Raw genomic sequence first — 14,000 nt, 5'->3', positions numbered from 1 at the left:
ACAAACCTGCACGCTGTGCTCACGTACCCTAGAACTTAAAGCATAATAATAATAATAAAAAGGTAGAATTTTACGTGACCCAGGCAAAGGGTTTATTCTACAATGTGTGTGAACCATGTAAAAAGTAGGAACGTAAGGACTTTTTTCCTTGCCCTACTTCCGTTTCACATGCTAGAAATATATACAGCATGCTGCCTGCTGTCCCTGTAGTCTTCGCAACAGAAGTGATACCATCTCTATGCCAGAAGCAGGAATTGCTGATGTAGGTCAGCCCCTCTTTTTCCTTGTCACCCTCGCATAGTCAATGATCAAATCTTGCTTATGCCCTTTCTCACCTCCTATCTCTTTCACCACTCCATCAAAGCAACTGTTGTGCCCTATTTATTTTATATGTCAGATTGTTCTATGCCTGCTTACTGCCTTAGTTCATACCCTTCCCATTTCTCAGCAGTTTGCTGTACATCTTTGGGTTCATTTCCACTTATGCATTGTACTCTTCACACAAAATTAGTCTTTCTCACCAAAAGCAATTGTAACAAAAGCAAAAATTGACAAATGGGATCTAATTAAATGTAGGAGCTTCTACATAGTTAAGAAACTGTCAACAGAGTAAACAGCCTACAAAATGGGAGAAAGTTTTTGCAAACTATGCATCTGACAAAAGTCTCACATCCAGGCTCTATTAATATAAGGAACTTAAACAAATCAACAAGAAAAAAAAGCCAACCCCATTAAAAAGTAGGCAAAGGACATGAGCAGACACTTTTCAAAAGAAAACATACATGCGGCCAATGAACATATGAAAAAAAGCTCAATATCACTTATCATTAGAGAAATGCAAATCAAAACCACAATGAGATACCATCTCACACCAGTCAGGATGGCTATTATTAAAAAGTCAAAAAATAACAGATTCTGACAAGGTTGCAGAGAGAAGGGAATGCTTTTACACTGTTGGCGGGAGTGTAAATTAGTGCAAACCATTGTGGAAAGCACTGTGACGATTACTCGAAGAGCTAAAAACAGAACTATCATTCAACGTAGCAGTCCCATCTCTGAGTATATTACCCAGAGGAATATAAATCATTCTATCATAAAGACACATGCATGTGAATGTTCACTGCAGCACTAGTCACAATAGCAAAGACATGGAATCAACCTAAATGCCCATCAATGACAGATTGGATAAAGAAAATGTGGTACATACATGCCATGGAATAGTATGCAGCCATAGAAAAGAATGAGATGATATATTTTGCTGGATCACTCATGGAGCTAAAGGCTATTATCCTTAGCAAACTAGCACAGGAACAGAAAACCAAATACCACATGTTCTCACTTATAGGTGGGAGCTAATTGATAAGAACTCAATGACACAAATAGGCGAACAACAGACAGTGGGGACTACTTGAGGGTGGAGGGTGGGGGGAGGGAGAGGATTCAAAAAAATAACTATTGGGTACTAGGCTTAGTACCTGGGCGACAAAATAATCTGTACAACAAACCCCCATGACACTAGGTTACCTATATAACAAACCTGCACATGTACCCCTGAACCTAAAAGTTTGGGGAAAAAAATGGTCTTTCTAAAATACAAATCTATCTTACTACATCACTTTCTTGCTAAAAATTCTTCAAGATATCCCGTTTTCATGAAGGAAAAGGCTCTGGTGCGTTAGCATGACATGAATGCCTCAGGCTCTGGCCTCTCCCCACCTGTCAGCCTTATCTCCTGGCATTTTTCTACACCCACATCATTGGGCTCCCATCATCTGTCAGGCTCCCTCAGTCTGAAATAGCCTCTTTCTCCTTCTCCTCCAGCCATTTATCTAATTCCTGTTTATAGGTATTCTAACTCCTGTTAAGACTCAGCTCAGGTATGGTCTCCACCAGGTTTTCCCCAAGTTTCCTTTCCGTATTGCAAAACCTTTCCTTGCACCTTCTGTACACTTTGTTTAGATTTCTGTCAACATATAGTTCTCTGAATGTTTAAAAAAAACAAAAAACAAACAAAAAAACACATAATCTTGCCGGGCACAGTGGCTCACGCCTGTAATCCCAGTACTTTGGGAGGCCAAGGTGGGTGGATCACTTGAGGTCAGGGGTTCGAGACCAGCCTGGCCAAAATGGAGAAACCTCGTCTCTACTAAAATACAAAAATTAGCTGGGCCTGGTGGTGGGTGCCTGTAATCCCAGCTACTCAGGAGGCTGAGGCAGGAGAATTGCTTGAACCCGAGAGGCAGAGGTTGCATGAGCCAAGATTGCACTATTGCACTCCAGCCAGGCGACAGAGCGAGACTCCGTCTCAAAAAACAAAAACAAACAAACAAACAAAAAACATAATCTTATCCAAAGAGATAGTGAGCACATGCCAACATTTTATTTATCTCGGTAATAAGGGAACCCATAAAGTGGGTTCAAAAGAGAATTTGAAAAACGAGGATTATTACAGTCAATGTGAACAAAATGGAAGGATGAATTAATATTGGCACATTAGATGCAGCCCTAGTTAATGTCCTATTGGGCAATTAAACTGTAGCAGTTGGGGTGATCTCATTTTTCCACCATGGAAAAGAAAACCAACTCATCAGTTTCTTAGGAGATAATTTCTAACTTTACAGGGCTGTAAAATATCTGAGCCTACCAGTAATAACATCAAAAATAAATAGTCAAAACCCTTTGAGAGTCAGAAGACCCTTGGATGGGTTTGTCAGACAATCGTCTTATAGCATGACATTGATGGAAGTGGAATCTCTTTACTTTGTTTCCACGTTTTGAGTAATTTTGCCTAGCACTATCATTGTTTACCCTGATGCTATACTTTTTAATTCACTCAACCTGGCATATACTGTGAACTTGAGAGAACTTAAGCTTTGGTGTTCAAACTGGGGTATGTATACCCCTTGTAATATGGAAAGACTTTTCAGGGGTTACGTGGCCATGGATAGCTTTTAGATGACCAATTTCCAGGCCCTCGTCCTAGGTGTGTACTCTTTCCTACAGCTAACCTGCTCCCTGAAGTGTCTCTGTTTTGCAAGTTCCTCTTTTCTTCCCAGTCCAATCACCCTTCTGCCACTTCACCAAAGCCTCCCACCCATCCCAGCCTGCTCATGAGCACACCCTGAGACCTAAACACTCCCATTTTCCATTAAGCAAAAGAGCCAAATTGGCCTCAAAAGTCTGACAAAAATATACTGAAAGCCAGTCTACAATATCCTGGAAAATACATTCTTTATCACAAACTAATGATAAATGTAAATGTCAACTTAAAAGTGTAGGGGGGGGACGTTAAACAGTTTATTAACATTTTTTTTTCCTTAGGAGACAGGGTCTCACTCTATCACCCAGGCTGGAGTACAGTGACATGATCATACTTCACTGCAGCCTCAAATTCCTGGGCTCAAGCAATCTTCCCAGCTCAGCCTCCAGAGTAACTGAGACTACAGGCGTGCACCACCATGCCCAGCTAGTTTGTTGTTGTTGTTGTTGTTGTCATTGTAGAGCCAAGGTTGGTTTCACTATGTTGCTCAGTCTGGTCTCAAACTCCTGGCCTCAAGGATTCTCCTGCCTTGGCCTCCCCAAGTGCTGGGGTTTAAGGGACGAGCCACCGCACCTGATCAACATTCTTTTAAGGATCGACAAGCACAACACTGAAGGCCACTGCATAGGAGGAAAATTCCGTACCTCCAAACTCCAGTGGAAGCCACAGCCGAGACCCTTGTCTTTTTGCTGTTGACTCGCTGAGCAATGTGGTACCTCATTTGGTTAGTTTACCTCTCCCTTCAGCCTGGTCAGCTGATCCTTTTCCACTGGTTTGATTTTAACACTTTGAGTGTTGGCTTAAACCATCCCTTTCTGTCTGTTCCCATTCCTCACTGCCTTTAGTTGGATGAGTGAGAAGGTCTTAGGGTTGATCCCATCCTGGTTCCCCTGTGGAGAGTGTTTGGGAAATGCCAGTGAATGTAGCCTGGATCACATTACTATAATTTTAAAGTTTCCTGGTCACTCTCCCTGTTACTTTTTACCCTGTGCACATTTTTTTTGTTGTATTTATCACAATTATTTGTGTACCAGACAGACTCTTTCTTTCTGGACGTTCATCTTTTTTACAGCAATACTTTTTATTGTTCATCTGTTAACCAATAGTTGAACTGAAATAAATCCAACTGGCCCACTAGACTGCAAGCATCCCCAAGACAAGTGTGTGTTTTATTTGCAATTGTACATCCAGTGTCAACACAGAGAAAGAACAGTAACACATTTATTGAGACATGACAGGCCAATAGTAAGCCCTTTAATACAGAGTCATTGAGTCATTAGGGCAAACCATGGGCATTGCCTGCATTTTAAATGCAGGGAAATAGAATTAGAGAGATTAGTTATGGCATCTGAGATCACATAGCAGTAAGTGGTGCCAGGATTCAAGTTGGGGCAGAATGACCCTGGAGTTTTTGGCCTCAAGTCAATTCTGTCTCGCAAATTGGATTTCTTGAATTATAGGGGTAATGAACAAAACAGCCTTGTGTTACTTACTTGTATTCAATAGGCTTTCAGAGGACCGGGGCCCAGGTGATCTATTGAGACCCAGAATGGGAGGTGCATACCTCCCATCTGGGGGGTGGGGAACTCAGCAGCAACTAGGAAGCTGTGGGGGCACCTTGGCCTTGCACTCAGGGCTCAAAGGGCATGGAAGCATCACAGTGAAAGCCACCATCATGAGAGAGAGGCCCAAGAATACAGATGGACTTGCACTTGAGTCCACTGGGCTTGTCCTCGTGGACAAGACGAGGTGACACTCAGGTAGGGACTAAACACCGGTATGAGCAGATGTGGATGGTGAGGAGGTGCTCGGAGGTGTGAGGCTACAGCCTCACATTCATGTGGTAGACTGTTTCAGGCTGGGGAAGCTTGGGATACTCTGGCTTCACTACAGTTGTTCAAGAAATTATGGAAGTATTGCATTGTTCTCTTAGCATACAAACTTTGTTTTCTTTATTCTTATTATAAATCTTTTACAAAAAAGATAGTGCTAAATAAAATTGTCTTATCTCTTAGGACATGTTTGCTATCGAGTTTGTGAAGTTAATATCTTCATACTTGACTCATTAGCTTGAAGTCAAATTTCAATATTATTGTAATTTCTAACAATACTCCCATTATTTTCCAGTTCCTGTGTTTAGCCATGAAAACCAATGTCACTTCGACTGAGTTACTTCATTTCTATGAGCTCATCTATTAAATAAGGCAGTTGGACAAGCTGTTTTCTACTATGCTCTCATAATCTCAAAGACAGTGACTGAGAGCCTGACTCTTTAAATGCTCAAAGTGAATTACTATTGATTTTTGCCTTTAAGACATTACTTAATGTGGTTATGACTTGTTTGATGTTAGTGAGTCTTTGATTAGAGTCCATTTCCAAGGTTAGCTTTGCTTCCATAGAAATGCAACTGCTATGCCATGACCTGAGTTAAAACCAATGGCCAAACTGTACCCTGTATGGAAGATTGGGGTTTCTTATCATCCAACTTAAGAACCACTGACCCTAGTGAAGTCCATGAAACAGAGAAGATAAACTCAGAGGAAAATACAATGTAAACTGCCAAACCAGACTGATGTACAGTCCATCAATTGATGAAGACACTTCAACCAAATAGATGTCTTGAAAAATTATAGATGATAAAGTATCGAATGGCCAGATAAATTGACAGGGATTTTATTGATTTTACAAAGGATGACATAGTTTCACTGACACTGCACTATAAGAAATATAATAGCAAAAAGATATTGCCTCCCACCTCCCCCAACCCCCGAGAACTTTCGGTAACGGAATTTCAAACTAAACATTTCCTTTTCATCTTTTCTCTTCTCTTTTCTTTCTTTTTGAAACAGAGTCTCACCCTGTCTCCTGGGCTGGAATGCAGTGGCGTGATCTTGGGTCACTGCAACCTCTGCCTCCCAGATTCAAGTGATTCTGCTGCCTCAGCCTACCAAGTAGCTAGGACTACATGTGTGCGCCACCACACTGGGCTATTTTTTGTATTTTTAGTAGAGACGGGGTTTCACCATGTTGGCCAGGCTGGTCTCGAACTCCTAACCTAAGGTGATCCACCTGCCTTGGCCTCCCAAAGTGCTGGGATTACAGGAGTGAGCCACTGTACCCAGCCAGACTAAACTTTTCTAAATGTCATGTGGAGGATGAAATTATTTGTATAAATGTTTTCATAAGTATATTATAAAGCATTTCAACACCTAGTAATCCATCACTAAAAGCATTAATTTTTGAAAATCATTGTGATATTTGGTACCATTATATAATGGAAAATAAGGTAAACGTGCAGACTGTATACAGTCCAATTCAATTACCAAATATGAGCAAAACCTATTAGATCAATTTCTGGCTTTTTTTGAAGAAACCGAATCAAGTTTATTCAATAGCACCCCATGGTCTCAATGTAACAGGAAAGGAAAGAGGATGCTAAAACCCACCTCCTTTGATAACCTCCAATTAGATGACCAACTGGCCTGATTTGCCTGGGAGTAAGGGTTATCAGGATGTCGGACATTTAGTGTTAAAACCAGGGCAGTCCGGGGCCTACTGGGACAGCTTGTCCTCTTCATCCCTCCAGGTCTTTTTAAAATGTGTGGAATATCCACATTTCTTTATCCTGGGACTTTTCTGTTTGCATGTAGGCTCTCCAGGAAGTCACAAAGCTGCACAACGGTGGGGCTGAGGAAATTAGCCAAGGAATCAGCCACGTCTCCGGGGCATCCGCCTCTTGTATTAGAGGTGTCTTCAGCTCTATCTTTGGGTGTCCAGGCTGCCACCAGGTAGCTAACACAGAACTGTCCTGGGCAACTTTTGTCTTTGGTACTCTGTGCTTTCCCTGTTGACATCCTCAGCTGCCACCTCCACAGGCCTCACATTGTATTCCCTGTGGCTCATGCCCGTGAACACTCTCTACAGGGACTTGCTTTCAGCACACTGTTAACTAATTGACAAAAATGCTAGCTATTGAAGCTCAAAGTGTGACCTCTTCTAGAAGTGCTGAGGTCTTAAAAGGTCATTCTCAGAGCTCAAAAATCTTTCAAAGACACAAAGCTAGACAGTAAAAATTGTTAGCTCTGTGAAAACCAAAGTGCAAAGCACTTAATAGCAATAGTTGTTTCTTACTGAGTACCATGTGTCAGGCACCATGCTAAATATTTCACAAACATTAATTCATACATACTACAGCAGCCCTGTGTGGTGTACTGAATCAAGCCCATTTCACAGGTAGAGATGCTGAGGCTGAGCTTGGTAATATGCCCTGCCCCATATCACAGAGCCAGAAAGATCAGAGCCTGATTTGAACCCGACTCCACGCTTATACACCTCAAAAGTCAGGCTCTTTTTTCCCCCACCATGAATAGGTTATTTTTTTCTGATATCATACACATACATACACACACATACACCATATATATATAGTTTTTGAAGACAGACAGGGTGTCGCTCCATTGCCCAGGCTGGAATACAGTGGTGCAATCATAGCTCACTGTAACCTCAAACTCCTGGGCTCCAGCAATCCTCCTGCCTCAGCCTCCCGAGTAGCTAGGACTGTAACTATGCCCAGGTAATTTTTTTTTTCCCAGAGACAGGGTCTCGCTATGTTGCCCAGGTTGGTCTTGAACTCCTGGGCTCAAGCAATCTTCCAGCCTCAGCCTCCCAGAATCCTGGGATTACAGGTCTGAGCCACCATGCTGGGCCTCACATGTTAGGTGTTTTTTGTTTTTTCGTTTTTTGTTTTGAGACGGACTTTTGCTCTTATTGCCAGGCTGGAGTATAGTGGTGCAATCTCGGCTCACTGCAACCTCCGCCTCCTGGGTTCAAGTGATTCTCCTGCCTCAGCCTCCCAAGTAGCTGGGATTACAGGCACCTGCCACCATGCCCAGCCAATTTTTTGTATATTTAGTAGAGATGGGTTTTCACCACGTTGGCCAGGCTTGTCTTGAACTCCTGACCTCAGGTGATCCACCCCTCGGCCTCCCAAAGTGCTGGGCTTACAGGCGTGAGCCACCACACCCAGCCACATGTTAGGTTTTAATGAGGTCTCTTAGTTTGCAGCTAGGATCAAGTCCTCTCTCTTACCTCTCACTGATTCAGCCACATACAATTATTTTGATCACCTGCTATGCACCTATGGTGTTCTTGGCACTAGGAATCCTGCTGTGAGTGAAGCTGAGCTCCTGCCTGTGTGGAGCCTGGGCCACATGGGTCTCCCAGATGTGCTCTGAAGTCACTGTCAAAAGTCATGGGCACTGGAGAGTTTCATGTGCCTGACGCTACGGAAGATACCAAATTCTACATTTGCCTCCAATGGGCACAAATGTCAGTTTCCATCAAGCTCCACCCTGTCCAGGTGACTCCTGTTGTGGCTCTTTTCATACCATCTCCCCTTCTCCCACAAGTGCCACCAACAGGCAAAGGTGGGGAGCTGGGTTTGGAGATGCTGGTCTGACCCTTAGGTGAAATCCTCTCCCCTGATGTTGCAGGAGAATGGGTGCTCAGATGGAGAATCAGCACTCTTCTCAGGTTTGGAAGGTGCTGTGGCTGGGGGAGTCTGCATTATGTTCTGGGCTGTGAGCTTTTCCAGAATTCCACTCCACAGGCACACGTCTGCTGTGTATGCATTTCTTGATATAAATCAGAAGTCCCTGAGTTCTCTACTCTTGAACGTCTATGTAACGTGTCTAGCACCATCTGAGGATGCTGGAAGTCGAGTCTGTTAGGAGGCCCCTGAATATGTGCTTGTCCCATTGGTGCTCCAGGAGGTTGCCTAACCCCTCATTTCTCTTTTGTTCTGTGTTTCTTGCTCTAGGCTATTACTCCATTTTCTGTAGGTCACCTCCTGCCACCTCTTCTCCAGGGTGATGCTGTTTGCAACACACAGTTCCTTGTCTTGGTTTCCTAAGCATCTTACTTCTGAAGGTGAGATACTGGCTGTAACAATTAAACTATTATTATAAGCTTGGGGATAACAGTAGGTACTTAAGAAAAGAATAAAATCAAACCTGAGCTTCAGATAAGGATCACAGGATTAATGCCTGCCTTGTACCGGACAATGGGGATAAAGACCAGTTGCCTCCACAAGTGACTCTCCTCAGGTCCCAGCCAGCTGACAACTGCATGCACTGATTATCTCTTTCTTTCCTTTTCTTTATCTGCATACAGGTTTTTCCAGGCCTTTGCTCACCCTGAAGGAGTCTCTGTTGCAAAAAATTGAGGTGAAATTCACATAATATAAAATGAGCCAATTTAAAACACACATTTCAGAGGCATTTAGTATCTTCACAAGGTTGTGACAAACATCACCTGTAGTTCTAAAATATTTTCTTCACATCAAAGGAGACCAAACCCCGTACCCATCAAGCAGTCACTCGCTGTTCCCTCCTCCCCCAGCCCCTGGTACCCACCAATCTGCTTTGTGTTTCTATGAATTTACCTATCTTGGACGTTCCATATAATTGGAACCATACCACAACATATGACCTTCAATTTCTGCCTTCTTTCACTTGTCATAATGTTTTCTGGATTCATCTACATTGTCAATGAAGTATCAATACCTCATTTCTTTTTAAAAATTGTGGTAAAATATACATAACAAAAATTTATCATTTTAACCATTGCCTTTTTTCTTTTCTTTGAGACACAGTCTCCCTCTATTGCCCAGGCTGCAGTTCAGGGGCACAATCTTGGCTCACTGCAACCTCTGCCTCCCGGGCTCAAGCGATTCTCATGCCTCAGCCTCCCGAGTAGCTGGGATTTCAGGCATGCACCACCATGCCCGGCTAATTTTTGTATTTTTAGTAGAGATGGGGTTTTACCATGTTGGCCAGGCTGGTCTCGAACTTCTGACCTCAGGTGATCCACCCACCTGGGCCTCCCAAAGTGTTCCACCCACCTGGGCCTCCCAAAGTGCTGGGATTACAGGCGTGAGCCACCGCACCTGGCCCATTTTAATCATTTCCAAGTGTACACGGTTCTGTAATATTTAAGTACATTCTCATTTTGGGACAACCGTCACCACTGTCCATCTCCAGAACTTTTTCACCTTCCCAAACTGAAACTCCAAGTCCATTATAGACTTTCCACTCCCTGTCCCCCAAATCCCTGATAACCACCATTCTACTTTCTGTCTGCCCGGTTGTGAGTATTCTAGGTACCTCCTATAAGTCGAATCATACAGTATTTTTCCTTTTATGACTGAGTTATTTAACTTACTATAATGTTTTCAAGGTTCATCCATGTGCCAAAATTTCCTTCTTTTTAAAGTGAGCTGAGATCACGCCACTGCACTCAAGCCTAGGCGACAGAGTGAGACTCCATCTCAAAAAAAAAATTATAGTTATCCTTGTAGGTATGATGTGGTACCTCACTGTGGTCTTGATTTGCATTTCCCTAATAAGTAAGGATGCTAAATATCTTTTCATGTGCTTGTTGACTATTTGTATATCTTTAGAGAAATGTCTAAGTCCTTTACCCATATTTTAATCTTTTTGTTGTTTAGTTGTAACATTTCTTCCAGATATTGGACCTAGGAGCTCCCTTTAAAGATCTTGGACCATAGGTACCATATTGGTTCATTTTCTGTTACTTATGTCAGAATACCTGAAACCAGGTAATTTATAAATAAAATGAATGTATTTCTTCCAGTTATGGAGGCTAAGAAATCCAAGGTTAAGGGACTGCCTCTGGTATTCCTGTCTCTTCTCCTTTTTCCACTAAAGGCCTGGTTGCCTTGACTGCTTCCAAGAGACTGGCAGGGAAAAGCAGTCTAACCATCCACAAATGTTAGCTAGATGGTAAGCCTCCAACTCTCAATAATGAACCTGCCTACTGAGGGAAACACAGCCAACTCCAAATATAATGGGATTTTCTTGTGTTGTTTGTTTGTTTGAGACAGGGTCTTCCTCTGTCTCCCAGGCTGGGGTGCAGTGGCACCGTCTTGGTTCACTGTAGCCTCAACCTCCCGGGCTGACGTGATCCTCCTACCTTAGCCTCCTGAGTAGCTGGGACTATAGGTGTGTGCCACCACATCCCGCTAATTTTTTATTTTTAGTAGAGATGAGGTTTTGCCACGTTGCCCAGGCTGGTCTCAAACTCCTGGGCTTAAGGAATCCTCCGACCTTGACCTCCCAAAGTGCTGGGATTACAGGTGTGAGCCATTGTACCAGGCCAAAATTAGTTTAGACCAGATCAGATTGTCCTATTTAATAGCCTTTACTCTGAGATATTGGTTAAGCTCACAGAGCTGGGTCCCAGGCAAACTAACTGAGTCTAAGCCCCAGGGTGGTGGCACCTGCCCCAACCTCTGCATTGCCCAACCCTCACAGAGGCAGGAAATTCCTCCTTCCTGATGCTGCAATCAGTCCTAGTCAGTTTCAGAATCGGGGGTCATATGCAGATTACAAAAGGCCATCTTCAAAGAAGCTGCTTATAGATTTCATGAAGTTTCTTAGGAAGTAAAACTTTCTGACTTATAGACAGCAAATGGCTTCCAAGAAGAATAGTACTGCTCACATAATAGTGCAGTATGAGCTGGGTGCAATGGCTCACGCCTGTAATCCCAGCACCTTGGAAGGCCAAGGCGGGGGGATCACCTGAGGTCAGGAGTTCGAGACCAGCCTGATCAACATGGAGAAACCCCATCTCTACTAAAAATACAAAAAATTAGCCAGGCATGGTGGTGCATGCCTGTCATCTCAGCTACTCGGGAGGCTGAGACAGGAGAATCACTTGAACCTGGGAGGCAGAGATTGCAGTGAGCTGAGATCGCACCATTGCACTCCAGTCTGGGCAACAAGAGCAAAACCCTGTCTCAAACAAAACAAAACAAAACAAACACTGCAGTATAACCTGAAATGGGGTATACAAGCATCTTTTCACCCATGATAGGCCACTCCTTACAAGAAATCCCATTATTCATTTTAAAAAAGAAATGGCAGCCAGGTGTGGTGGCTCATGCCTGTAATCCCAGCACTTTGGGAGGCTGAGGCAGGCAGATCATGAGGTCAGGGGTCATGAGATCAGGAGTTCAAGACCAGCCTGGCCAACCTGGTGAAACCCCGTCTTTACTAAAAATACAAAAATTAGCTGGGCATGGTGGTGTGCGCCTGTAATCCCAGCTACTCAGGAGGCTGAGGCAGGAGAACTGCTTGAACCAGGGAGGCAGAGGTTGCAGTGAGCCAAGATCAGGCCACAGCACTCCAGCCTGGGCAACAGAGCAAGACTCCGTCTCGGGGTGGAAAAAAAAAAGAAATGGCTATGTTATAGTTTTGACAGTAAATAATTTGTAAGTCATTACTCTCATATGGTGAAAACATCTACTCTCCTATAATTGAAAAAAAACTTTTTTTTTTTTTTTTGAGACAGAGACTCTCTCTGTTGCCCAAGCTGGAGTGCAGTGGTGCAATCTTGGCTCACTACAGCCTCTGCCTCCCAGATTCAAGCAATTCTCCTGCCTCAGCCTCCCGAGTAACTGGGATTACAGATGTGCACCACCACGCCTGGCTAATTTTTGTATTTTTAGTAGAGACGAGGTTTCATTATGTTGGCCAGGCTGGTCTCAAACTCCTGACCTAAGGAGATCCTCCCACCTCGGCCTCCCAAAGCGCTGGGATTACAGACGTGAGCCACTGCGCCCAGCCTGAAAAAAAAACTTTAAGGAAGGTTTTTTAAGGTTCCTAGGGCTGGTTATTGCTGGAAATCATAAACAAAGTGACCATTTAAGTATAAGAATCATCTGTATATCTAGCCTAGCCAACGTGGTGAAACATCGTCTCTACTAAAAATACAAAAATTAGCTGGGCGTGGGGCATGGTGGCACACACCTGTAATCCTAGCTACTTGGGAGGCTGAGGCAGGAGAATGGCTTGAACCCGGGAGGTGGAGGTTGCAGTGACCAAGATCGCGCCATTGCACCCCAGCCTGGGCAAACTCTGTCTCAAAAAAAAAAAAAAAAAAAAAGAAACATCTGAATTTGACTTTTAAAATTATGACTATATATCATAATTCAATCAATAAATATGTTAAATGATTTTTTTCTATGAAGGATAAAGTAATATTTTCCCTAAAACCAATCATAAGAAGAAAAGTACTTCCTTTAGTGCAAAGTTATAACATAGGCCAGTGGTTCTCAAAGTGTGGCATAGGGAACCCTGGAGAATCCCCAAATCTTTTTTTAGAAGAACGGTCTATGAGGTCAAAAGTATTCTCAAAACAATACTGGGGCCGAGCGCAGTGGCTCACACCTGTAATCCCAGTACTTTGGGAGGCCGAGGCAGGCGGATCACTGGAGGTCAGGATCCCTGACCAACTTGGTGAAGCCCTGTCTCTACTAAAAATACAAAAATTAGCCAGGTGTGGTGGCAAACACCTATAATCCCAGCTATTTGGGAGGCTGAGGCAGGAGAATTGCTTGAACCTGGGAGGTGGAAGTTGCAGTGAGCTGAGATCACGTGAGTGCGCTCCAGCCTGGGCAAGAGTGAATCTCCATCTCAAAAAAAAAAAAAAAAAAAGATACTGGGAATGACTTGTCTAATTTACTTTCATTGTCTCATGAGTGTAGACAATGAGTAGAGCTTTGCTGAGCCTGTAAGATACATAGAATTACATATATACAATTGAATCCTGTGTCTTCTGTTAAGGCAGAAAAAATTCTTTGCAAAATTGTAAAACAATGTCATTCTTCTCACTATAACTTTTTTCTTTTGGAAATTCTTTTGTGAAGTTATTTTTTGCATAACTGTTATTTATGTTAACATTTTTATTGTATTCATGTAAACATTATTTTATATATTTTAATTTTAAGTTAGCCTACAGTAAAATTGACTTTTCTTGTGTACAGTTCTATCAGTTTATTATTATTATTATTATTATTTTGAAACAGGGTCTCACTGTCACCCAGGCTGAAGTACACTGGCATGATCACAGCTCACTGCAGCCTCCCCCTCCTGGGTTC

General features: G+C 43.0%; 1 long non-coding RNA gene across 1 annotated transcript in view; it reads right to left on the bottom strand.

Moving 5' to 3' along the window:
* Positions 1–7,782: 7,782 nt before the first annotated feature.
* Positions 7,783–14,000, bottom strand: part of LOC100132077 (uncharacterized) — a 28,473-nt gene continuing 22,255 nt past the window's right edge. Inside the window, exon 3 of the long non-coding RNA NR_033937.1 lies at positions 7,783–9,246. This is a non-coding gene — a long non-coding RNA (uncharacterized LOC100132077). The remainder of the gene's footprint in view (positions 9,247–14,000) is intronic.

Source organism: Homo sapiens, chromosome 9, assembly GCF_000001405.40.
Source record: "Homo sapiens chromosome 9, GRCh38.p14 Primary Assembly".
In the NCBI taxonomy this organism is placed as follows: domain Eukaryota; kingdom Metazoa; phylum Chordata; class Mammalia; order Primates; family Hominidae; genus Homo; species Homo sapiens.
Note: the sequence above shows the minus strand (reverse complement) of the source record. Positions and strands in the feature narration are given on the sequence as shown.